This window comes from Homo sapiens, chromosome 15 (assembly GCF_000001405.40).
Source record: "Homo sapiens chromosome 15, GRCh38.p14 Primary Assembly".
NCBI lineage: Eukaryota > Metazoa > Chordata > Mammalia > Primates > Hominidae > Homo > Homo sapiens.
The window spans coordinates 60,568,915-60,595,361 of record NC_000015.10 but is presented as its reverse complement, the minus strand read 5'-3'; the positions used below and the strand labels follow the sequence as shown (position 1 = coordinate 60,595,361).

At 41.5% G+C, this 26,447-nt stretch overlaps 1 protein-coding gene and 1 long non-coding RNA gene across 12 annotated transcripts in view, besides 5 other annotated features; one reads left to right on the top strand and one right to left on the bottom strand.

The window, feature by feature from the left end:
- The window catches only part of RORA-AS1 (RORA antisense RNA 1), a 151,462-nt gene that overhangs the window by 35,278 nt on the left and 89,737 nt on the right, over positions 1-26,447 (bottom strand). The gene's annotated exons all lie outside the window — the stretch shown is intronic.
- RORA (RAR related orphan receptor A) overlaps positions 1-26,447 on the top strand; it is a 741,019-nt gene that overhangs the window by 633,941 nt on the left and 80,631 nt on the right. For 3 of the 10 annotated variants that reach the window (NM_134262.3, XM_047432930.1, XM_047432929.1), the window contains exon 1: positions 2,836-2,975. The exons of 5 other annotated variants lie outside the window; for them this stretch is intronic. In NM_134262.3, the coding sequence (NP_599024.1) occupies positions 2,945-2,975 (31 nt within the window). In that variant the 5' untranslated portion in view covers positions 2,836-2,944. Of the gene's footprint in view, positions 1-231; positions 1,667-2,262; positions 2,555-2,835; positions 2,976-26,447 lie in introns of those variants that run through there. 2 more of the 10 variants (XM_011521877.4, XM_011521874.2) reach the window with 2 other exon arrangements.
- Positions 2,489-3,538: a silencer, noted in NCBI's record as "silent region_6499". NCBI's record gives its function as "represses an Ori minimal core promoter by ATAC-STARR-seq in GM12878 lymphoblastoid cells {active_cell/tissue: GM12878}" and the evidence as "EXISTENCE:reporter gene assay evidence [ECO:0000049][PMID:35858748]".
- Positions 3,569-3,688: a silencer, noted in NCBI's record as "silent region_6498". NCBI's record gives its function as "represses an Ori minimal core promoter by ATAC-STARR-seq in GM12878 lymphoblastoid cells {active_cell/tissue: GM12878}" and the evidence as "EXISTENCE:reporter gene assay evidence [ECO:0000049][PMID:35858748]".
- Positions 10,274-10,323: an enhancer, noted in NCBI's record as "active region_9510". NCBI's record gives its function as "activates an Ori minimal core promoter by ATAC-STARR-seq in GM12878 lymphoblastoid cells {active_cell/tissue: GM12878}" and the evidence as "EXISTENCE:reporter gene assay evidence [ECO:0000049][PMID:35858748]".
- Positions 13,982-14,808: an enhancer, noted in NCBI's record as "NANOG hESC enhancer chr15:60872753-60873579 (GRCh37/hg19 assembly coordinates)". NCBI's record gives its function as "activates a minimal SCP1, AML or CMV promoter by ChIP-STARR-seq in naive H9 embryonic stem cells {active_cell/tissue: H9 hESC(naive)}" and the evidence as "EXISTENCE:reporter gene assay evidence [ECO:0000049][PMID:30033119]".
- Positions 18,655-19,204: an enhancer, noted in NCBI's record as "OCT4-NANOG hESC enhancer chr15:60868357-60868906 (GRCh37/hg19 assembly coordinates)". NCBI's record gives its function as "activates a minimal SCP1, AML or CMV promoter by ChIP-STARR-seq in primed H9 embryonic stem cells {active_cell/tissue: H9 hESC(primed)}" and the evidence as "EXISTENCE:reporter gene assay evidence [ECO:0000049][PMID:30033119]".

Sequence of the window (26,447 nt, the reverse complement as noted above, 5' to 3'; positions counted from 1 at the left end):
TTTTGTATTTTTGTAGAGATGGGGTTTCACCATGTTGCCCAGGTTGGTCTTGAACTCCTGACCTCAAGTGATCCACCCGCCTTGACCTCTCAAAGTGCTGGGATTACAGGCATGAGCCACCATGCCCGGCTTTTACATGATTGTATTTTAATATACAGTGGGTAAAAGTTTGTGCTAAAATGTATCATTTATGGCTCCAATTTGGTATTATTGAAGGGAGATGTCCCTTCAATATGGGAGATGTTCCCTTTTACTCCTGACTGATTTGTTTGGTTGGGGCCTTATAATGTCATAGAAAATGTGCATTTTGAGTGGTTAAAAAAAAAAAACAGCCTATAGTTTTTACTCTCAAAGAGCTTTGTGTTAATATAAAGAACAGTAATATAACCTGGGTTAAAAGCTGAAGACATTTAATAGAGGCATGTATTACAAATAGCATCTAGCTACATTGGAAGGTTAGGACTTCATATCTGAAATTCTGTTGCTCATTAGTTGTAGGAAGTGAATGAAGTACATCTCCAAAGGGCAAGGTCAGTATTACATTATTCTGGAAATGTCTTTGTTGAATAAATGTGTAAATATTTCAGATAAGTACTTGAGATTATATTTCTATTGGGGACATATCTATAGAATGAATGATTCTACTTATAACTGCAGGAGCAGATGTCATGTTACATGTTGTTCCCAATGACTGATTTCATTTGAAATGATCTGGAAATAAATACTGATTACTAGTGATGTCAGATTATTCACCTTGGAGTCAGATGTCTCACAAGGCACGCTAGAGCTAATAGATTTGGTTCTTTTGAAAACATTGTTTTCTAAAGCAGGATACTGTTTTAAAGTAGCATTGTGAATCATCCGAGTTGTATATCTGGGTTCACTTGCATTGAGTAGGGAAGAACATACTTCCGAGGATGCAGTCTCCGATGGTTTTCCATCCTTTAACGATACAAAAGAAAGAAAATTGTACCTGGGACCTGCTTATAGGATAGCTTGGCATTAGTCGTTAGCACAAGGGAAATCAATAACCAAATGTGAATGATGGTGTCAGTGTAACTGAGGGGCGTTGCCTCATTGGGAGATATAGTTGCATCATAGGAACGTGGTGTGATTTAATTTCATAATTGTAAACATTACAGTGGGTATGGCTGATTCATTTGAAACTCTTGTCCACTTTGCTATGGCTGGACAGCTGAGTTAACATGGGTAGGTCTTGGGTTCACATTTTTATAATTTCTTTTCTTTGTAGTTTTTTTTGGGGGAAAAATCTTTAAGAAAAAAAGCTGTATTAGAATGAATTTATCTGAAATCAAACTTTTATAAAGCCATGGCTTGACTGAAGGACAACGAACTTTATTGACCTTCTAAATCAGAGCGCTGTATAAATGTTTGGAAGACTCAATTTTGCCTTGAAAGGGGGCTGGGGAGGGAGTGTATGAATCCTTGTTTTCTACGGTGCTGATTATTTGCTTGTGTTTTAAATTGTGGCCCAACTCAGGGGCAAGAGCAACTCACTTACATGGAGAAAAAAATATGCTAGAATTATCCTTGCTTAATCATCATGAATGCAACAGCTAATAGCCATCTGATATTTTAAGTTGTGCGTGGCAACAGACCAACAGAAAAGCAAGCAGAATGAAATTTCGTGAAGGAACCGCAATAGGTACGCAAACTTGGCTTTTCAGAATTTTTTTCTGTTATGCTCGGTACTATAGACACCCTGACCAAAGTTTTAAACAATGCAGACTCTGGGTATGTAGCATCTGAAATTCATTGTAAAGAGATTGACCTGTAAAATAATAACGTCATGATTTACAGTTCCGTAAGGACAGTAAGAAGAATTAAGCTTCAAAGTTTAGAGGGAATTAAGTCTTAGTCGCATGTTAAAATGTACAAAGTTCACCTTCAGAGGTCTTTATTTTCTGTCAGAATTACCACAGTGTTTCATTTTTAGGGTATGAAAACGATAGCTTTTCCTACTTGTAGATGGGTTCTCTGGAGAGATATGGAAGAGCCTGGGAATTTAGCGGCTCAAATCAGCTGGCAACTGGAGTTCATTTAGGTGATTCACATACAATTTCCGGCTTTCCTTGCAGGTATCAGTGGTCTTGGACGCGGGGAAGGGGGTTGGGGGGGACAGGTGTAGACCAGGACCTTGGTTATTGGTATAACTGCCAATATCCAAGGGTTGCCAAGGGTTGGGTGGGCGGAGTTCCCCCGCCCAGGCCGAGTCTCTCCAGAAAGACTTCGGAGGAGCTTACTCCACTCCCCGGACGGTCCCAGTGGCTTCGTTCTCCACGGCCCAGAAGTGGGCCGTACCTTCCGATTAGAGCTGGGGCACTCTAGGAAATGCGGGTGACCGTAGCTCCCCAGACCAAACCTGTCTTTTCCACCAACGAGCTGGCGCATTTATCGCCCCCGAGTGCTCCGGCAAGCCAGCGGGAGAGTGGCGTCGGGTTGCGAGCCTCTTGCCCCACCGAGTGGGGGCAGAAAGTGGTCAGAGGCGCGTTCCGCGGGGCGCTGCGTGCAGAAAAGCGACCGGCGGCCACAGGTGATCCCGAAGGCGAGGGGAAGGCGGGCGCCCGGGCGAGGGCCCGGGGCGCGGGAGGGCAGGCCCGGCCGGGGTGGGCCAGCAGAGCCGCCGCTGCTACTCACCTGCCCGCGGGGGCGGGGCGGGGCGCGGCGCTGGGGCGCGCCTGCCTCCCGCCTCCCGCCTCCCGCCTCCCGCCCCGGGAGGAAGCGGAGGGGCGCGGTGTAAACAGAGCGGCGGCCGTGATGTCAGCCGGTCACATGGAGCCTCTTATGGCTCGGGATGGCTCTCGGCGGGCGGGCAGCTGCGGCAGCTGCTGCTGTGGCTCGGGCGGCGGCGGCGCGGCGGCGGCAGAGGGGGCTCCGGGGTCGGACCATCCGCTCTCCCTGCGCTCTCCGCACCGCGGCTTAAATGATGTATTTTGTGATCGCAGCGATGAAAGGTGAGCCCGGGCGCCCCGCCGGGGCCGGGTGGGCTGGCGGCTCCGGGGGGCGGGGAGGAGGGCGCGCAGGGGGAGGGGTGGGCGCGCCTGCCCGAACGCACGTACTGCCCGGGGCTCGGCGCGGGGGCCCTGCCAGGGCCTTCTGGGCCACCGCCGCGGCGCCACCTGAGCCCGGCCACGGGATCGGCCTGCCTCCGATTGGGGGGCAAAGGCGCACGGGGTGGATCCCCCTCTGCTGCCCCCTCCGGCTCCTGTCAGTCTCTTGGGTCCGCTTGGCACCGGGCGGGTCTCCCAAAAGAAAGTTTGCCGGGAGTCGCCGCGCTTCGGAAAGGAAGGGGAGGGTCTGCGGAGTTCAGAGGAAGCCGGGGACGCCCGCGGCCGGTCCCCAGGGCCCGCACCCGGGACAGCTCCGGCCTAGGTCGGGGAGGCGCCGCGGCCGGGCAGGGCCGTGCGTGCGCGTTGTCGCGATGTCATCCCCGGGGACTGGTCAGCGCCCCAGGCCTTGCGCCCTGCCCCTGCGTCCCCGAGCGCCTCAGCGGCCGCCGGCCGGGCAAGTGCCGCAGGTCCGCGCTGTGTCCCGCGCTGTGTCCCGCCGCGGCCACTTCCGAAAGCGCGCGGGCCGGAGCGAGACGGGCGCCTCGAGCGTGCCAAGACGCTCTGGGCGGCCCAGGGAGCCGCGGCGCACCCCGCTTGACACTTTGGCTGGTGGATGGAGGTGGGGAGGAACTCGGCAGCCCACGGGATCCGCGGGCAGGGGCGGAGGTTAGACCGTGGTGAGGGCCGACGGGCGCGGGTTAGTCGCGGCCAATCCTGCCGGGCGGCCCGGCCTTCCGCCCTCATCAGGACTCCGTAGCCGGGCCGGGGGCGGGAGGGGAGGGGGATTTGGTTGGAGGGAGGACTGGCTCTAGGTCCTCTCAGGTGAGAAGGAGAGAAACCGTGGCAAGTCAGGGAACTTTCTGATGGGAAAGCTAAAGTTTGGAGGTGTTCAGGAAGTCGCCCGTGCTGCCGGAGAAACCGAGACTCGCTCTTGGGACGGTTGCAAACAGCTCCGGAGAAACTCAGCCCGCAGCACGCCGCCCGCCGCCCGCCGCCCGCTTGTGCGCCCGCAGGTTCCTCGCCGTGGATAATCTGCCCGAGCTGCTTCGCAGGCCCGGCCGCCAGGCTTGGGGATTTAGAGCCCCATCTGTTTGCGGCGGACGCGGCTTCCCTAATGCGCAGCAATTGTGCAGACCCAGACTGTCCTGCGGGTCCTAGCCACCGGTGCGGGTGCCAAGCGCCTGTTAAACGTTTGCTAGTTTGGGGTTGTGTTGCAATCTGGAATGAAGGACACCAGTTCGGTATCTGCGCTGGGTTTACTTTCGGATCACCGAGCTTTGCCTTTCTTCACTAGAGATTGGGTGGCATCTCTTTTATTAATTATTAACAGGCCGAAACGTACTGGACGTTAAGATGAGCTGCTTGAGATGAAATCTTTCTATATAATGTGCCCACAGCAAATTTTCTCTTTTCCCCTGTGGCTTGAGGGGAATGGGATTTAATCATTTTTAGAATATGTAATTCATATAAGTAAAAGAGAGGAAACCTCCCGTGATCCGCGCTCTTAAGCACTTAAAATTATTTGGGAGGAAAAATTATTAAGATTTCTTATCGACTTCTTATGTTAAAAAATCTATTCTCCCCCACCCCCCCAAAAAACTTTTATGCTAGTCCTGCATTTCATTAGCCCTGTAAGTGTGAAACGTCTTAAATGCCCTCTGCAGTTAAAGCATTTTTTGTCTTTAAATTATAAAATTGATTTTGCTATTTGGAAGATGTCAATGCCAGTCTTTATCCACTTTGTCTAATATACTTTGTGTTGATTGGAGGAAAGGCGAGAGGCTGAGACATTTTAAACTGCTTTCTCCCCTAATGAACAGTAACGACCCACCAAAAAAAAGGAAAGTACGTTTTAATATTTTGATTTAAAGTTGATGTTTCCTAGTACATAGGCTTTTGCTTTTGTAATTCTACAAAGTGAAGTTCCATACTGTCCCTTGCTAATAGAATAATAAGAATCACACACGCTACCCCCACACTTGGAGTGACCTCTGTCTGCCATAAAATAATAGTTTCATAGTATTGTGCTTTGAAAAAAGTGCCTCAGAAGTACTGGCAATGCAATTTTTCTATAAACTCAGCTGCCTGAAAGAGAGAGAGAGAGAGAGAGAGAGATAGAGGAAGAGGGAGAGAGAATGCATCTGAACAATTAGAATATTTCACTCCCAATATCATAATATCCTGAATTTTAATGGGATTATCTTGCTTTGGTGCAAACTTAAGCTGAAAGAGAAAATAGTTTGTGGGGAAGTGAGGAATGCTGTAAATGTTTCCATATCAGATTTAGAGGAAAAAACTGGCTTAGAATCTTATTAAATACTTCCCTATTGCTTCTCAGTTTTAATAGTTAAATTGGTTCCATGTGTAAGACAGTTTGTATAACTAGATTTTTCGTGCAAAACAGAAATACTGTTTACAATATAGCTTTTTGGTATGTGGATGCATGTGGACAAGGGAGGAGAGAACAAGCCACCATAAAAGAAAGATTCTCTTTGTTGGCTGATTTACTGATGTTTTTTAAACATCAGTAAATCAGGCCCTTTGAACTCACCAAAGAAGAAAATCCTTCCTCTGCATTAGTTGTCAAATAAGTTTAGGCTTAGTTTCATGCTCAAATGTAATAAATCTTCATTTGAGTAACTCTAGTCTCATCCTTCAATTTTGCTTTTGTTTAATTAACAACAAAATTCCAATACCATTTGGATTGCTTCTTGGGCAAAGGGAGAGAGCCAGCTATAACATTTATAATCGGGGGAGCACTTGTTCTGCTCATCATAAAAGTGCATTGGCCAGATGTCACGCGGCAGCGGAGTACTGAAAGGAAATGTAAGACGTTCATCAGTTTCAGTAGATGATATACCCCTTTGCTTCATATGAGTGCTCAGCCTGTGTTTGTGCAAATGGAGTTATAAGAGCACAGGGAGGCTTAAAGGGAATTTCTGGCCCGTAGATTCTTCGTCCGGCCTGATTCATGTGCAAATGCAAGACTCCTCACCACTTTGAAAATACTGTATGTGTTGGTAGTATGTCCAACTGTAATAAATACGATTCTGTAGTTTTGAAGAACTTGGCCTTTCTTTCTACGAAATGAAATTAGAATTCGATCTCTGATCTCACTGTAAGGACCCATTGCCTGGTATCCCTTCACTGGGATTTTTGTACCATTTTTGTTACTTGTGATGGGAAGGATTGGGAGAAGGTGATGGCTGGATCTTGAAAAGAGAAAACCCAAATGGTTGCCACTACTGAGCAGAATGCTTATCTGGCAAGAAGGGATCAGTTCTTTTAAAGACAAAGAGGATTTCTGAATCCATTTGTCCATGGGAGGAGGGAGAAGCCTGGACCCTCCATGAAGTAGAGAGTATTTTAAAAGCACCATTTTCATGGGCAGCCTCTTGATTTTATATATTTCAATCACGTTACTTGAGATACAAAGCAGCAGCATGCACAAGTAAACCCTTTTGCCCACGATTTGAATTGAGAACCATATAATTTATTTAATGCTGCCCAGTCATGAAATAATGTAATTTCTAAACAGAAATAGTCATTTAGAAATATACAGTATGTCATCTAAACCTTAGCTCTTTAATATGTAGTAGATACACTTGTAAATATATTAATAATTCTCATTAGTCTCCTTTTTCTCCTATCTTTCCCTCCCACTCAAGTGAGACACAATAAAAGTGGATGAGATCAGCAAGGTGATAATTGCAAAGCACCTACAATAGCACCCAACCACTTTCTTATTTGCTCTGGGGTATCTAGGAAAATAATATTTATAAATGGCCACTTACTGGAGAAAAGTTACTGGATGGATGGATGGATGGATGGATGGATGGATGAATAGATTTGCAGAGGTAGATGTAGGGTTCAGTTTTCTTAAAAATCTCTTAAATTATTATAGGGATCAACAAAACCCCTTATGTGGAACAAATTTCCTAAGAATACTCTGTCATGGAAATGTTTTCTGCATTCATTTTTACTATTTACAGCACTTATTAGTAAGAAATCAAGGCTGCCTTTATGTATTTCATATTTAATAATTTTAAAGCCATAATTAGACACTCAGAGTCAGCAGCTACACCACTTTTATGTTTCTCTACTTAAAAAACAGTTTTTTTGGAGCCATCCACCAGTGACAAGTCAGGTGTGAATTGACATTTGATAGTATCTCAAAGACCACATACAGACCCTCTGAGGAATGATTTACAAGTTCTGTCTCCCCCATCTAGCTATTCTACTGAAGATAACTCCCTTCCATCCCAACCTTTTGATTCATGAACTGAGAGAGTCGTAGTCAGAGCTTTTTCTATCCGTCAGTATTTTGTGTGACATGATAGAACATGATTTTTCTGTTAATTGTCAAGAGATAGGAGGTCTAAATAGATGGATAATAGCATATACTATCCAATGGGCAAAATGCAAGGAAGCAGCTGAAATCTTTTGTTTCTGGATTTTCTTTTTGGAATGAAATTTGTTAGCCCTCATCATATTTTCAGGAGATAATACGATAACTTTAAAAATCTTTGCTCCTGTGGGTATAAAAAATAATGTCAAGATTATTCCCTAGGTTTTCCAGTTATTTCATTTTTTAAAATGTTACTGCTTCTGAAGTTTACTAGGCATTTCATAAACAAATAGGGAGATGATGCTAATCTATATTTATTTTGTGCTTTATGGTTTACAAACACTCTTACATCATTTAATCCTCCATAGAGAGTCACTGATAGTCCCATCAGTGACTGATGAAGAAACTGAGGCTCACAGAGGTTGCGTTATAGCCTAGCTTTTCCATCTGATAACGTGAAACAAGAACTACAACCCTAATTTCTATCTTCATGCCTCCCCTGGAGGAAGCTGTGAAAAACGTCCTGGATATAACTTTGTCTCTAGTTAGTGGAAATTATAACTCTGGCATTTATATGGGAAAAAAATAGATCCAATTATGTAATGCTTTGCTGAGCCTAATATCTTTAAATTACTATTTAATAAAATCAGTTTGGTACAAATGGGGTTATTCTTATTTGCTTATCATTAGCTCTCTTCAACCATGATTTTCATTAAGTCTGCTTGTTTTAAGAGGATATGAGTGAAATATAAGCATTATTTTCCCCAAGAATACAGAATACCATGAAGTACAGCTAACCTGTGTAACCAATCGCCATTATGATAGAATTGAGAGATATATCTATATGTTCCACTTATCCTTAGGCAAAGGGAACATTCACAAATGCATCTTCTAATTTTAATATGACTTTGTGTAGTATAAAGCTTACGAATTCTCGTGCTTGTGAGTGCTGTCGTGTTTGTTTTCATGACAGCTTAGGGGCATGATTGTAGATCTATTCTTGAGAAATCGTTTGTCTTTTAGAAAATCACGTGAAGTCTAAAAGTTTTCAAGTAGATCTGAAAAATCTCATTTCTCACTTAGTGGGGAATGGCCTTAATGACTGCTGGATTAAGGTGTGTTTGTCTGAAAGCAAATAAGGATTATTTCAGTCTCAGACGAAACCTTTAAAGTCACTCAGATGAATGTCTCACTGGGATTTGGACCCTGCCCACAATATTTCTGCCAAGTAGTTATCTGGTTATGCTGGAACACCTCCAACGATGGGGAACTCACTATCTTTAAAGGTAGGTTACTCCATCTTGAATTAGAAAAGTCTTTTTATATCAAGCATAACTCTCTCCTTTGTACTTTTAATCCCTTAATTCTGATCCTTTCCTTTGGGGCTGTGCAGAACACATTTAATCCATCTTTCAAATGAAAGACTGTAAGTCATTTGAAGACTAGTACTGTAACACACACATGCACACGCACACACACACACACACCCCTCTAATACGTAATATCTGCTGTCCCTCTCCAGTCCTTTTTGCTGTAAGTGTGGTTCTGCCTTCCCACAATCTTGGTCAGTTTCTTCCTCAAACACACTTCAGTTTGCCTAGAACCACTTGAAATTTTAATGCCAAAGATGGACCCCAAGTGCCAGTTGTGATATAATTGACTTGGCACTTAACCCAGCACATAGTAAAGAGGCAGCCATGACTTAAAGATGAAAAACTTTTGTTTTAAAATTTTAAAGATAACATCAGCTAGCTGTATCTCTAGCACCTCTCACCACCAGTCTTTGTGATATCATTGTTTGTGAAAGTGGACTTTTGAACTGTTTAGGAATACTTTTAGTTCCATTTGAAGTTGATTATTAAGTATCCAGGAAAATCAAAGATACTACAAAAATAATTAAAGGAACATTAGAAGCATTTCAGGTATTTTTCTGCCGCATGTCAGATATGAGATAAGGCTGCCCTCTAGTGGTTACTTGCACATGGACGGCTAAACCCATAATGGTGCCAGTGAATTTCCCATCAGGCTAGTGGGAAGGTCAAAGGTTGTAGTTATTTTCTTAATTGGAATGAGACATTTCTATTCCAGATTCAAAAGTTTAACTCGTTGTTCTTCATGGTTATCAGAAATGTAACTGTGGAAGGGATACTGAATTTTAAAAGTTTGCTTGGCAGGAAGTAAAGGAAAAAAAATTTTTAACTTAAAGCTGATTTATTTGCTGTTTGGCTCAATATTAAATTTAAGTGAAATTTGGTTTGTGAGTCAACAATTGTTATGACATTTTTAGTAATCCTCGTATTTTTTTAAGTTTCAAACTCCATTCTAATTCCCAACCCTTGAATATCTTTTAAAAAGAGGTCGTCATTTGATGAGCTAAATTCAGCGTTTCCCCTTTTTAAATCTAGAGCTTTTCTTTTTCAAAAATGATAAACATTTAGTAAAAAAGTAAACTACAGTAGCTTTTGGGGGGTAATAAAACAATTTTAAACATGGATGAAAAAAACTATTAACCCCTTGGTTTCTGAAGATTTATGGTTAGATCATTTGGTTCACTTAAGTATATACAGTTTGCCTAAAAAATAAGATAGAGGATATGTCAGAAACTCTGCATGAGGTAGCGACAAGCATTCATTTGCATATTTTTTAGGATAAATAGATAATACAAGTGGATTGTGGATTTGGATTTTGGTGTTATAACAAGTGTGAAACAATGGTAAAACAATCTGATTTCTGTGTCGGAATCTGAGGAATGAATATAGATCTTCCTATTTGCTTAAATGTTATTTGTTCCTGGTGCTACACAGAGGTATAAGAATGCACGTTTATATGAATTTTGCATTGCTGAAGAAGTCAAAGCTGATCTGAGCTAGAATAACCAGGGTAATAATAATGACAAATAATCACCAGGCTTGTAAAGGATAATAGTGCTTACGTGTTCCTATTAGAAAGATGAAATTGCAGCGTTTCATGAAAAAGAAGAAAAAAAATAAAAAGCAAGGAAAAACTGCTGTTTAAACCTTTCTATCATAGAAATAAGGCAGTGGTTCAGAAGTGAAGACTTGTGGTTAAGTTTCAGATCAGTTATTGAAGCCAACCGTTTTACAAACTGCGCCACCCAGAAGTGTGATTTTTTTTCACCACATGAGAAGTATTCTCTTTTTCACAGAATGTTATTTTCATTTTTCGGTTGTTGGAAAGGTTTTTTTTCTCCTTCTTTTTATTTGTTCATCTCACTTCAAATCTTCTGTAGAACAGTGGGTGAAAATAAGTAAATAAATTTGTTTCAGCAAATACTTAAGTGCCTATTGTGTGCTAGGTAATTCAGGTACCACCTTTGTGCTTTTATAATAGGAGCTGAGACACCTTCCTCCCAATCAAGTGTCTTAAGCCATGAATCAGCATTTAAAAAATGCACTGAGAAGTTGGCAGCCACACTTAGTCAGAGAAGGCTGCTTTATGGCTGTTGGACTTACACATTTGCATTTGCTATAAGCTACATGCCATTTAAAACAAAGGAGATTTCTGTGACATGCCAAACAATGCAATGAAATGTTAATGTAACTGGATAAAGTCAAACCCTATACTTATGGATGAACATGATTTGCTTCCACATAAGCCATAAGTTAGCTCTAAAATCCTGCCTGAAACAGTGGTTCTGAAACTGTAGAGTAGAACCCATACTCCAGAGAGTCTTAAGAAGGCGGATCCCTGGGTCTCACACAGAGTTTGATTCTGTCAGTCTGGGGTGAGGCCCACGAAGGCATGTATTTACACAGCATCTCAGATGTTTCTGATGCAACTGGTCCTTAGGCCTCACTTTGTGAAGCTCTCTGTTCTAGCCTGTCAGAGCCAGGTGGACCGCAGAGTCCTCCAGTCCTCTAGTGGTTCCCAAATGTCATTGATCTTCACAGTCATCTGGGAAGCATTTAAAAAATAAATGCCTTTCTCCAGCAACACCTGCACAGATCCTGCTTCCAAAAGCCTAGGAGGGGAGGCCAAGGAATCTTCTTTTGTAAAAGATCCTCTTGTGAGGATAAGACAGGTTTGGGAACCACTGCTCGGGGCTAACCCTTTCCTCTTACTCACGAGGAAAGGGAATCTCAGAAAGGTAAATTATATTAAGGTAACCATTCACTTCTCTTTAGTTCACTCCCTTCAGCATGGAAGAGGTGCCAGATGTGAGCAATTTCTGGCATTGTTATTAACACACTTGAAATATTTTTCTGTTAACTTTGGCCTTGCTATCAACCAGCATGCAGAAGCAAGTGGGCAGACTGTTCCCTCAAATCTCTTACCCCAAGTGGCCCAAACAGGAGAGAACCCTGAGGCTGTTTTGGTGCTGGAGGCTGCTGTGAGACTTTTCAAATACTGTACTCCTTTTCGTCATAAAGCCTTGTCCAGAAGCCCCAGCCTCTGCATGTGACATAGACACAATGTATTTTAGCCTTCACTGTGTGCCTGGGCTGGGTCTTGCCAATACTGTGACCACTTAGCAGGAGCAGGCTAAGAGTCTTACTGCAGAAGTCAAGGCCAACTCAGTGGAAACAGTGATGTCTTTTCAAGGTTGCTTTATTCAGCGACAAAGTAAAGGTTTCAGTGCCCTGGAAGCTGATCAGTGCTTCCTGTTTAGCACATGGCCTTTCTCAGGCACTGAGCATCTGGTGTGTATCTGCCAGTGTCCAGGCTCTGGAGGTGACATCCAAACAGGGGAGACCAAATGCTGCCTTCGTGCAGCTTAGATTCTAGTCTGGTGGGATAGATGAAAGTAGACTTCCTCTGGCTGGTGTGGAGAAGGACTACCTGCCTGCTTCCACACTGCGACACCAGCCCCCTTTTTCTTTTGAAAATGCTGGTGTAGTATCTATCTCATTATTGTGGCAGATGTGATGCTGGCGGCCGAGGGGACAGCAGTGATCATGTCAGTCTCTGGTCTCTGTGAGTGTACATTCTGGTGGGAGAGGTAGGTAATACTTAAGTAAACATATCAATGAACTAGATAAATGCAGATAATAACAACAGCTAGGCCAATGTAAAAACAGTATAATGGTTTAGAAATGCTTATGGCCTCATGGGTCAACATCAGGGAACTGAATCAAAAAATTTTCCCAACTGATGGTGAACATTTTGCAATAGACCTCACAGGTCATCTGCTCCCAACCTGGTCTGCGTATTAATCTATCTAAAGAGTTTTTAAAAGATATATAAGCCCAGGCTGTGCTCTTACAGATTTCTGATTTTACTGGTCCCAAGGTGTAGAGCTCAAGTATTGCTACATTTTTAAAGATAACTCAGATAATTCTGGTTGAGAAACCTCTGAAGCCCAACACCCTCACTTTGTACATGAGTCACCCTGTCCGCAGTGTAGCAAAACAATGTTGAGTAGTGGAAACCCCCCTACATAGGGTGGGGGAAGATGAAGATATGGGTTATTGTCCCAGATCTGCGATGCAATAATTGTCAGGTTAAACCTCAGTTGTTCACTTTCCCTGTTTTTAAAGTTAAAGGGTTGGACTTGGTAGTCACCAAGATCTTTTCCATCTCTACCGTTCTATGAAAGTGTTTCTATTAAAACAGAAACATGCTCTAGTTTCTTGTTTGAGACTTGGGAGAGGCAAACAAATGCCTCCTACTTTCCTTATTCCCTGTCTCTACCCTTAATTGCTATAGGTCCTTCTATCAGCTAATCAGTTCCTTTTGGAAGTGAAAATTTAAGACAGAAAGAGGTAATTACTTTATGCTATTTAAATAAATTTAAGAACAAGCAAGTTTTCATTAATATTAATAATAAATATGCCCAGATTTAGTTCTAGTAAATTACAGTCATACCTTATTTATCAAATTGTAGCCTAAAGCTTTTTCCGTTTTTGATGGTTGATTTAAAACCAAGGGGCGGGGGCAGTTGTTTAAAAATGGAAACCATGGAGTAGCCTTAACCATTGCGTACCACAGTAATTTTATTCTTTACCAAATATTCCAAGCCAGGAACCCAAAGAAATTGAGTCTCTCCCAATGTATCGTCTGCAGTTTATTAGCAAGCAGAAACAATGTATCTCTTGTGATGCCATCTTATTTTATAAAAAAGAAAAACAGAACTAAGCTCCAGCATGAAAAAATATCATTTAACTTCCTAATTTGAGACCTGGCATCTTTAAAAACTTGGATTTCATTGAAACATTTATTCAAAAAGACAGCAGTTCATTATAAACCAGCATGGTGTGATGTAAGCACCTTAAGTTTATTTCCTTGTGTGGAATTTCCCAGTGGGGTTTGATAATATTCAGCAGTTTCAGAAGCGATAAAGGAGTTTGAAAAGAAAATCTGATGGGAGCTGGTAAATGAAATTAGAGCCATATCTTTTTCAACAGAGATCTTTAAAGATTTGCATACCGCCTATTTTGTATATATCTAAGAAATTGTACCTCCATTGCATTCACAGCCACGTTTGCCCTAGACACAAGATTATGAAAAATCCTCCTCCTCTTAAGTTGCATCCGTAACATCAAGCAACTTTTGAAAATGATATTGTTTAACAAAACAATTGGTTTGATAGAAATCCATTTCAAAAGCAATGTTTCTACCACAAGCAAAATCTCGTAAAACAGAAGCATTTTGTTTCCACTATTGCAGAGAAACAAAGTTGTTTAAGATGAGTTAAGATGTCTCAGGGTTTTGGCAGTCTTTCTAAGCCCCCTGCTGCTGTTACGTTCAGAATCCCTTTTGAAGTGGCCTGGAAGTTTCTATGCAATTTCAGTGGCTGCTTAGGGGAAATATTGGCTAAACTGCTCATTTCGACTGTTAAGATGGATCGAGTGTTTTCAGAATGTTTTCGTTTGCTAGAAATATGTTTTGCACTGGGGCTTCTCTTGTTGAAGAAGGTTGGTTACCAGCCATCTGAAGATGCCTCAGGGTGTTTACAGAAAATGTGGGTGCTGTAGTTATATTTGAGCACAGCCCTCCCCCAACAAAGATAGTGTGGTAATCAGCAGGAATGTGAAAACATGTATTTAAGGATTGATGCTTGTAAAAGAGGCGCTGTAAAGAAACATGGTTGTTCAGATGTAAGAAATGACTGACAGCTCTCTTTGTAGGCATGCTAGTAACAATAAAGTCTAGAAGTTCAACATCAAAGCGATCACAGCTTACTCCACCAGTGACTTGCACATCAAAGAGGGAGCACAAGACAAAGGAAGTGCACTGAGGTATGTTTCTGCCTCATAGCCAGATCCTCAGGGGGAGCTCCCAGAGCTCCTTTCATGAATGCATAGTGATTTTTGCAGATCAGCGTCTTCATTTCATAAATGACCAGGAATATAAAAGCAGGGCAAATGAACGCCATAATTGCTGGCATCACTTTAAGTTTGGTTCGGAAAGATTCATCACAGGAGCGATTGGTCTCTCTGGTTTCCTTGAGTAGTGAATTCTATACCAGTGTGGGCAACTCTAACTTCACCTAATGTAGTACAGGGAATTATTCACAAAATAAGAGAAAACAAAGTGGATACATTTCAAATTGGTGGATTGGAATTATGCTTGAGAACATAAAACTGGACCTAAGTTAGTGCAGTATGCCTCTTTTTTCTTTCCTGTTGATTGCTTAATTTTTTGAGATTAACCTTGTGGGTGGATGTCTGCTGAATCAGGTGTGCATTACTTAACAGGTGTGTGACATAATGAAATTTAGACCTGTTAAACCAGCTCTTAATTAATCACCAGATCTATGCTTCAGTTCTCTAACTCAAATCATGTGTACTCCAAAATGCCAAAAGTAGAACAGGAAGAAGAGTCTGGGTTTGACTTTCTTCCCTCTCTCTTGATATTACATTGAAAATAAAATTAACCATGCAAGTATTATGAGTGGTTTTAAATAATGTGCTTTTTTTTTTGCTTGCCTTTGAAATTTAAAGTTCTTTTATAGTTCATCTTCAGTAATTTACTCATTTTTAAGTGCTATTGAAAAATAGTAGTGCTCTGTGTAGTCATTAATAAATACAAAGCAGCTTTCTCAAGGCTCTAGGGAGACCTAATAAACACAACTGTGTTACTAATTGATGCTATACTGAGCTGACAAAAGTAGTGCATCGGTAAACAGAAGTTAGAAAGCAAGAAGTTAAAGAACTATAGGGGATTATGTAGACATCAAGGGTTGAAAATTATAATAAGGCCTCTTTAGGGGAGCATTAATTTGCATGGGGCTGAATTAGGACAACCAATTATTTCTGAGGACACTACTAAGAGCTCATCCAAAATACCCCCAAAGTGAAAGGTTTGGGAAAGAGTTGGGACTTAGGTGAGATGGAGGGGGCACTGAGCATGTCATATTTCCTATAACTCATGGTAGTTCAATAGTTTTCTCAATAGCATGTTAGAATAGCTAGTTTTCTTTGTTAGGAGAAAATGCTGATGAAATCAACAGTACTGTAATTTCTTTGTTCTATACACACAGTTTATGTTGAACTACCACAATGGAATTTTTTTTTTTAAGCAGGAAGGGCAGGAGAGTGGAGACAGAAATAAACCTTTTAAATCTTCTTTACGTGAACCCCACAAGGACATAAGCATTTAGCAGATTAGAGAGCGTTTGGATTTATAGATACTATCCTCTACAGTAGTGGTCTTCAATGTGTGATCCAGGGACCCCCTGCGGGGCCCCAAGGCCCTCTCAGAAGCTCCAAGAGATAAAAACCAGTTCCATAACAATACTGAGGCATTGTTTCCCCTTTTTACTACGGTGACCATTTGTATTAATGGTGCAAAGCATTGGTGGGTAAAACTGCTGGCACCTTAGCAGGAAGCAGGACGGTAATGCCAAGCTGTACCAGCAGTCATGGTATTCTTCATTACTGTGCAGTTGCTGTTAAAAAAAAAAAAAAAAAAAAAACCGGGCGCGGTGGCTCACACCTGTAATCCCAGCACTTTGAGAGGCCGAGGCAGGCGGATCGATCACAAGATCAGGAGATCGAGACCATCTTGGCTAACATGGTGAAACCCCATCCCTACTGAAAATACAAAAAATTAGCTGGGCATGGTGGCGGGCGCCTGTAGTCCCAGCTACTCAGGAGGCTGAGGCAGGAGAATGGCTTGAACCTGGGAGGTGGAGCTTGCAGTGAGCCGAGATTGTGCCACTTAACTCCAGCCTGGGCAACAGAGCGAGACTCTGTCTCAAAAAAAAAAAAAAAAGTTTCATTTAAGAATGTGCTTGATGAAGCAGAAAAATTTATTAACTTTATTAAATTTTGACCCTCAAGTCCATACCTTTTTAATGTTCTTTATGACAAAATTGGAAGTTTGCATAAAGCACTTCTGCTTTATACTACTAAGTACCATGTTTGTCTCCAGGGAAAAGTACTTGTGTCATTGTTTGAGTTAAGAGCTGAACTAGCTGTTTTTTGAATGGAATGCCACTTAATAGAATAACAGACTATAATTATTCAGATGTGGATATGTTTCATATATTTTCTCAAAAATGAACTTTGAGTCTGTTATCTCCTGAAAAACAGTTCACAGTATTTACTGCCCATACATTCAGGCAAAAATCTGAATTTTGGAAAACTTGTATCCAACCCCAGGAATCTGACAGCTTCCCAATACTTAAAAACTTTTCTGATGGTATGGGTAGTGATATTAATCAACATAATTCCTTGATATAACCACATCTAATAATGAAATGTGTCAAAATCTGGAAGATATACAAAACCCAGTGAACCAGTAGTTTCCAAGTGACCCATGGATGATATTATAAAAATATATGTAGGTAAATGATCCACTCAAAGTGCAAAATATACCGGTGTATTTTAATTTAACAAAGTACAAAAAGTCAGTGATATGGCTTCAGGTTCCATATTCTAACTAATCTTTAAGAAACTACCACTTGTTGAGTTTTAGTGTAGTACCACAGAAGAATATCCAAAATTATCTGAAAAGGCTATTATAATACCTCTCCTTTTTCTAGCTACATATCTTTGTGAGGCCAGATTTTCTTCACATACATCAACCATAAGAGCATAACACAACAGATTGAATGCAGAAGCAGCTATGAGAATCTACTTGTCTTCTTTTAATAGCCAGATATAAAAAGATTCACAAAAATGTAAAATAATGGTATTCTTCATGCTAACTTTTTGTCTTATAAAATATACTTATTTTTATATGTTAATATGCAATGTGTTTATTACTATTATTTTAAGTTGAATTATAAGTAAATTGTGTAAATGTTCCCAGTTTTAACTTCTAATATGGCAATGACTGATGTATAACCTACAAAAACAAAAGCTGTTTGCAGCTTTTTTTTTTTTTTTTTTGGAAACAGAGTCTCACTCTGTCACCCAGGCTGGAGTACAGTGGCGCGATCTCGGCTTGCTGCAACCTCCACCTCCCAGGTTCAAGTGATTCTCCTGCCTCAGCCTCCCGAGTAGCTGACATTACAGACACGCACCACCACACCCGGCTAATTTTTGTATTTTTAGTAGAGACAGGGTTTTACCATGTTGGCCAGGCTGGTCTCGAACTCCTGACCTCAGGTGATCCGCCTGTCTCAGACTCCCAAAGTACTGGGATTACAGGCGTGAGCCACCACACCAGGCCTCTTTGCAGTTTTTAGAAGCATAAAAGTATACAGAGACCAAAAAGTTTGAGAGCTCTTGCTCTACAATTTACTGTAGGAGACATAGTCTGAAAATTGTATGACAAAGCACAAGGTAACAATAGAAGGGGCTTTAAATTCAGACAGATTTATCAGATGAGCTATAAATTATATTAAAGAAAGCACTTTCAAACATGAATTCAAGAGCAAATTTTGTAATCCTCGTTTTCTTTATAATGTCTTCATCTTTCATAACAGTGGAAGACCAGAATCTTTGGTGATATTCTATTTTCAGAGATTTTTGTTTTTGTTTTTTTTATTAATATAGCAAAGACCTGGGCATAAAATTTGTGGTTTACAGAGGCTTTACAGTTTATCTTTAATCATCTGCAACCTATATTAGCAAAAATAGTACTAGTAAATGATGGCTGTTTTTCTTTTTGTTTTGGGCTGGTGTGGAGGAAAAAGCTTTTATACAATTAGTACCACTTCCAGAGCTATCCCAGCTCCTGAAAGATGTGAAACTTTTGTCATGAATGTAGGCACCTTGGAGAATTTTATCACTGTGTGTAGAGATGGAAAGCCCTTGCAGGCCTGCGACCATGCAAGTGATGGGCACCTTAACACATACACCATTCACTCCCCCTCAGACCTTCTCCAAGGGGGAAGAGTTCTGCCCAGATAGCTGTCAGCACCTGAGTGTGACAAGGAGGCTAAGCCCTCGACTAACAGATACACTTGGCAGAATCAGTTCCATTACACTAATTAAATATGTGAAAGCCCAACCTTCCCTGAAATTTCTTGTGAAAAATAACATGCAGTTAGAAAGCAATGCCCAAATACTTGTCCTTAATTTTATAATCACTTTGTTGGCATCTAACATATAGACATTCACATTGCCCTTTGTGGCTGGGCCATCTGCCTCTTTGTTATTATCAAATAGGGGGCATTCAGGTCTTGCATTCCATTTGGTTTCCTATCAAAAGGCTGTCCATTGAGTGGGAGCAAATGTGTTTTGGCACATTCTGCATTTCCAGGGTCTTGCTTCTGACTGTTATAACTAAGAGAGAAGTTGGTGCCCCCAGAGCCAAATCAGTCTCAGAACACTGGGATACGTTGCTCCCAGCATAGTTTTATTAGCCAGTTAAAGGGATAGGCTGAAGCATACTCACTGTATAAACAGAGGTTGTGCAATGGCCCACAGCCACGCTGCCCATGAGAAAAAGCACCTCCTGTCTTCTATGGATCTACCCAAAATTAGGAGGGCTGAGGAGAATGAGATGGCCCCATTTCAGAACAACTCACAGTGGTGATGTGGGGGAAGGATGGGAGTGAAGAGGAAGGAAAGCAAGGCAAGCCACGCTCTGTTCTTGGAGAGGGTGTTGGGAAGGTGCAGCTGAGGAAACCCTGGCCGTTTAAAGGGTGAGAGAAATAACTACATGCCCATTCGTGGTTAAAAAGAAAACAAAACTTCTAACTTTCCAATTTGGGAAACAGAAGTGTAAGATAATTATTCTCTTTGAAGTAAAATAAAATGGCTCATGTTTAGGCATTGTATTTTATTAAACTTTTAGCATTTTCTGGCTAACTGAACTTTAAACAATAAATTTTATAAGCTAAGTTTTGCATTATTCGGTGATTTTGACCCAGGCATGGAAAACTATTTTAAAAAACCAAAGGGACATTTTTTTTTCTTGATCTGGGAGTATTGCCTGTGAAAATTCATAAAGCTTACATTTATCATTTGTGTCTGTTTCTCTTTGCATGTTGCACTTCAATAAAAAGCTTACCAAAGGGCAGGAGGATTCCAGTAATTTTTTTTTTGTAAATCATATACTCTCAGTACTGAAAATATTCTCTAGACTCGACTTTGGAATTTTCCACTCTGTCATTTACTAAACATTTTGTTTATTCTCAGTTCCTTTGTACCACCACTTCACAGAGGTAAACTGGACCTATGACCTTACAGTAGGGAAACTGAAGGCATTTATACTTCAAGTACACGTACAAAGCTGTAACTCCGTATCATGAAGGCCAAGTATCAGCCTTTACAGGATTGTTTTCTTGCTTTATAGCCATTGGCTTTTGAATGACCTGCTAGTCAAATGGGAAGGAAAAAGTGAATCAGACGATGTGGTGACGTTGCTATAGGAATAGGAAGGTCTTCTAAGACTTAATACTGTCTGTGTACATTCTAGCTCTTTGCTGAAGGTTCTGGCCCTAGGTTAAGGCTGGCATTAGACAAACGGAGCTATGTTTTCAAACTTTATCATCTCCTCTCTTAGGGCTCTCGGTGGCCTTCTGGTTTAGCTGAAGGCAGAGTTGCCTAATCACCACATAAAAAATCGAGTAGTACAATCTCCAGACCTCCTCTTCTTCTCCTGCCCCTGACTCAGTAGTTTGATCTTCTGTCCCGTTCTCTCCTGGCTCTTCCGGGTGACACAAGATACAGAAATAAGAAAGACTCTCAGAAAGTTGGCATAGGCATAAGAGCAAGCATGGATCTGGAAATTTTTCCAAATATAAGGCTTAAGTCCCAGAAATGCCACGTATTAGCTGATGGATCTTGGGCAAGTCATGTAACCTCACTAAACCTCAGTTTTATCATCTATCAAATAAAGATGATAATAACATCTACCTCATAGGGATTTTTGGGAAGAAGGAAGTAACACATGGAAGGTACTTAATGCAATGTCTCACATGTGACAAGCACTTAGCATATGGCAGGCACTGAAGAAGTGTTGTTATTAACATCCCCATCCTCTCATCCTCTTGTACACGTGGTAAATGGTACACATCACGTATTCAAGTTTGAAGTTAGGGTAATGAGTTCATCCAGCCTTAGCCGGTACACATTGCATTTTAACAGGGGCCTTTGCCAGTGCCCAAGCATATGAGTTATGTGGTCTGGTCAGATGGGGGCTGATGGAAGAAGAACTTGCATGAAATTTCTCATCATATAACATAAGAGGCTTCTAATTCTGCATTTTCCAAGCCCTGCTATTTGTAACCAGTAATATATGTTCTAAGCCTATCATTTATAAAGCGCTTCCTGTGTGCCAAGCACCATGAAATGGATTACCACATTTAATACTTACATTAGCCTTTCATCCTCCTTTTTACAGAGGAGGAAGCGGAGACTCAGAGACGCAGAGCAACCTGTCTAGGATCACAGGGCTAGCACATAGCTCCAATTGGGGGCTGAGTCTGCCAGACTCGCAGGGCTGGGCTAACCCTGCTCTGTTCTGACCCAACAGCCCCAGCACCACCGGAGTCTCAGAAACTCACATTGTTCCAGATTCCGAGATTAGGTCATCATGCAAATTGAGGTTAGGGGCTTTTTCTGAACACTGCAGTAGAATGGAAGTAGACAAAATACACATAGAAATGGATTGAGCATCTGATGTGTGCCAGGCACTATAAAAAGTGCTGGAACCAGAAAGATGAAAAGAAGTGGTCCCTGCCTTCAAGGAGCTCACAGGCCAGGGAGGGCCCAAGGTGGAAATAAAATCATGACATAGTGTAAATGCTAGAGCAGAGGAATGCAGGAGACGATAGGAGCACAGAGGAGGAGCACAAATCAGACTGAGGGGTTAGGAACAGCTTTTTGGAAGAAGTGAAGGCTTAGCTGAGCTTTGAAGCAAAGGAAGGTTATTGCCAACAAATGGTAGTTTGTGAAAATCCTTGAAAGCTAGACAGTGAGCAAGGCAAGTCGGGGACTGCAGGAGACAAGGCATGTAGAGGAGACCGGTGGGGTCTGAACTATGACAGGCTCTCACCCTCATTCTACGGGAGTTGTTCTTTCTACTGAAGGTGCCGGGAGGCCACGGAGGGAGGCTGCCAGATATTTTTAAGGCACATGAAGAAACACGAGAAACAATCAGATATTCTCAGTATCTTCCTTTCCCTTAATTATTTCAAGAGATAAAAAAGCTTTTTGGATGCGGCAAAGGTCTCTTCTGTGTTATGATTTGGGTTTCTGTGCGGCCGCTCTGCCTCTTGTATGGTGTTGAGAGATGTATGAAAGGCATCCGCCACGAGTCTTCAATGGATTTCTGCACTTTGCTTGATATAAATTGATTCAGGGACTTCATTATGATGTCGCTAAGATGAATGGGGCAGTAGTGTTTTGGCTTAACGCTGCCAGAAGGAGGGAAAACAAGTTTCTGTGGTGCCGCGGTTCAATCATGCTGCTTACAGAAGTAGGGCCATGAAAGGACGGAGGATTGTGTCTTTGATACTAGAAACCCTGTAGCCCTGTTGGTGCTACAAGCGAATGCTTAAATTAAAGGTTGGAGCCAGCTTTCAAGTATTGACTATCGAGCAAAAAGCTCAGCCCACACTCATGTACTTACTCAGCCTTGTTAAAATAAAAATACACTCTCGGCTGAGCTCGTGTCACAGCCAGTGTAATTATTACATTAAAGATTGTTGTTTGAATTAGAGTTGCTGTGGTACACGTTTATTTAAAGATATGCTTGGTAATTTAGTACATGTTAGTCAGGACTCATGCCCAAACTGTGAAGAAGTATTCGTTGCCAGCTGCCTCTCAGGTTGTTTTTGTATTCAAGGTAAACACTTGAAACTTGACAAATTGATCCAGAATAGTGGTGATCTGACTTCCTTGCCACAGGACCAGTGGCTTAACTCACTCAGCTCTCATCTCCTACCCAGGATGAAAACAGCATCAACCACATTGGATTATTTTGAGGTTGTTAAATGAGGTAATACATTTCAGGTGGTTGGCCCATCAATAAGCGCTTCTTCCTAAATATAGTTTTGTTATCTATATTATGTATAGATTTGTTTTTAAATGGTAGGAGGGAGTATGACTAAAAAGCCCCTCTTTTTTTTTTCTTGCTACCAATGGTAAAAGCCGGATGATCCAGTTGTCTATAATAGCCATGCATTTATTAAACCCTGTGGGTTATAACCCCTCTGTTTCTTATGGTTCACTATGCCCAGAGCATTCAAGTGTTTAGTAAAGTTGTGAAAGGCTTTGCAAATATGAGGGATGATGCCCATTTTCTGGTAGGTTTCTTATGGGGTTCTTTCCCCCAACATACACATTTCTCAGTGATTGTCCCCTCTTTGCCCTTTGCTGGCCATGTGAAATGCAGGACCACATCTTCTCCAACAGATGAATCCACATTAAAGCCACTCACTGACCTGCTTTCTACATTTAAAGCTACTCAACTTTGCTATGTAATTGTAAGGCTCCCAAATTCAAAGCATGGCTAGTGAGCAATGGATGAGGGTATACCTAGTATTTTTTCCATAGACTTATGGAATCTCATGCATGGAATTTAGATATCAGGCCTCCCTGTCCTCATCTGGGAGTGCTGGGATTCATGAGCTACTCCTATGTGCTCTGCAGTACGTTCTGGTGTGTTTAAGGTAAGGTATTATTCTGTTTACATAAATCACCCTGACATCTTGTACTTTTTCATGGATTATTACTTTTTTAATGAGGTAACAGAAATGCAGTGAGGTCAATTTATGTGTTGGCCTAACATTCTAAAAAGTGAATTTTGATAACTTCCCAGCAGGAAAGAAAATTTTCATCGTAGAAGGTGACATAGCTAAATACAACAGTCCCATAGCTAGCTGGGCATTTTATAGACTATTAGACCTGCAAGAGACCTTAGCAGTCATCTAGTGCAATCTGCTAACTTTATAATCGGGTGGTTGGGAGATTAAACACCATGCCAGGATAAGTTAGTGGCAGGGACTAAAATCAGGGACCCCTCATGCCTCTTCATGATCTTTCCATAGTTCATGCTTCATCTAAGACTGCCACAGAGAGCTCAGATGTAATATTATGATACCAAAAAGTGCTGTAAGTGATGTCTTAGGCCTCTTTAACTCTTTTAAAAACTAGGCTATTCATTTCTATCAAAAGGTTTAATTGGCCTGCACAATTATTTGTGTTTTCACAGAAAAGAGAAAAAACTAATTCTAGTTAAGAGTAACAGCACACAGTAGGACTCATATGCACTGGAGCTTTAATTTAGTCTTTACAGGCACACACACACACACAAAAACACAGGAAACCACTTCAAATATACCATTACGATGAATTCAAACTGTGTCAGGGACATCAGCAAAACAGTGTCCCTTCATGCTGAGTATTGTGAAAATGTATCCTTGTTGTTTGCTGTGGTCTCCTGTGGGAGGCACATCGAAATTACTACACTCCCCGGGAAAAAAAAAATAGCAAGAACAGTAAATAACAGCCTTCAGATAATACAGATGGGTAAACATTTCCAGAATTGATTATAGAAACTACTGTTGACAAGCCACTAGCAGGCAAAATGAGGAGAGAAAAAAAAAGAACTTTTATCTGCCATTCAACACTGGGCATACAAGGCAGGATACAGACAGGGCAAAATAGCCGATTAATATGGTAATGTACTTTATTGCACATGTAGGATCATGAGAGAGGCCTGAGAGTTACCTGGTCCAAGCCACTCCTGTTACCCCAGAGAAAACAGAAACTCGGAAAGGTTAAGTGGCTGCCCAGCATCACACACTTAGCAGCAAAGCCAATTTTGGAACCTTAGTCTCTTGACTCTCAGTCTAGTGCTCCAACTACTGTACTGTGACCCTCTAATTGAATCTATGACGGCACCTGTGTCAGGGGTACAAGATGAGGCTCATGGAAATTTATCCAAATGAATAGCTGTTTTAAAATCATCATTAAAACTGTCCATGGGCCAGGCGCAGTAGCTCACACCTGTAATCGCAGCACTTTGGGAGGCCAAGGTGGGCAGATTTCCTAAGCCCAGGAGTTCAAGACCATCATGGGCAACATGGTGAAACACTGTCTCTACAAAAAACACAAAATAATGATGATAATAATAATAATAAACTGGGTATGGTGGCACGCATTATAGTCCCAGCTACTCAGGAGACTGAGGTAGGAGGATAACCCGAGGCTGGGGAAGTCAAGTCTGCAGTGAGCTGTGATCATACCACTACCCTCCAGCCTGGGTGACAGAGCAAGACCTCGTCTGAAAAACAAACACATACACCCACACAAAACAAAAATAATACTGTCCATGGTTTTAAGCATTCTCCTGAAGACAAAAACTTGTTAATACGGTACCATATAAAATCTCAGTTTATCTTCACATCCAGAAAGGAAGGCATTTTTCATGCACATTTAGTTACTCAACAAATATTTATGAAGTGCCCGGGCTGTGTTTGTGTTACTGATGGCCCGTGATCGGCTATCTTCTCTCTTGTCTCGGAGTCAAATAAGCAGGGGGATTGTTGGATCTGTCCCCTTCACCTCCCTTCTGTCGAAGGATCTCACGCTCACATTGTCTTACTTTTCTCTCGTTTTTCCTATCCTTTTAATCTGATCTTTAAATGTCAGTCTCTGTTCTCATCTTCCTTTTTAACGAGTGTGGGTTTCTCATGTTTATCTTGCTCTCCTTTTGCTGACGTATTTGCATCACTTTAGCTGCAGTTAATATCTGCTAAATCAAACCATATTGGCTTGAATAGCTTCCATTGATTTGTGAATAAAAGAATGCTTCAGCTGCTTGGCCCTGCTCTCTGTACGTTCTTTGTCGCCAGTAGGTTTAACTTACTCAAAACCTTCCTTGTCTGCATCCCTCTTTTACCCTTGTATTGTTCATCCTCCCCTGTTCAAGCCATTCACCCTTTTGAGCTGTCGTTACTGTAAGGGAGTGACTGCTATTTCATTTACTCATTATTTACTGAATGAGGAGACTAATTGTCATTTTTCTTTGCTGTTGCCCTGTTTCCCCCTTTTAACCACCACCCTTCCGCCCCTTTATGGTGAGGACCAAAATCACTGTTGTCATTAGCTAGCCTGTATTGAGCATCTACTACATATTTACTAAGCATCATTCAGAAGACTTGAATTTTGTAAAAATGAATCCTTTGGGTTTTTTCTTTTCTTTTTCTTTTTAAAGAGACAGGGTCTCACAGGCTGGAGTGCAGTGTTGCCATCATAGCTCACTGTAACCTGGAACTCCTAGGCTCAAGTGATCCTTCTGCCTCAGCCTCGCCAGTAGCTGGGGCTACAGGCATGTGACACCACACATGGCTTTTTTTTTTTTTTTTTTTTTAATTTTTTAAAGAGATGGAGTCTCTCCATGTGGCCTAGGCTAGTCTCGAACTCTTAGGTTCAAGCAGTCCTCCCACCTCAGTGGTTTCTTTTGAGAAGGAGTGCAAAATGAACAAGGCACTTTCGTTGATTAATTTAATTCAACCAATTTTCTATATATAATACCTCTTACCACAAAGAAATGATTAGATTCTAAATGCCAGAAGATAGAGGTGTGAAAAGACACTAACCACAAAAAGGCCTTTTGTAAATTGTATTGTCAGCGTATTTTAAACTCCAGGAAATGCCATAATATTGAGTTTTTTTTTTTTTTTTTTTAGCGCAAAACCATCTAAACTGAAATCCATA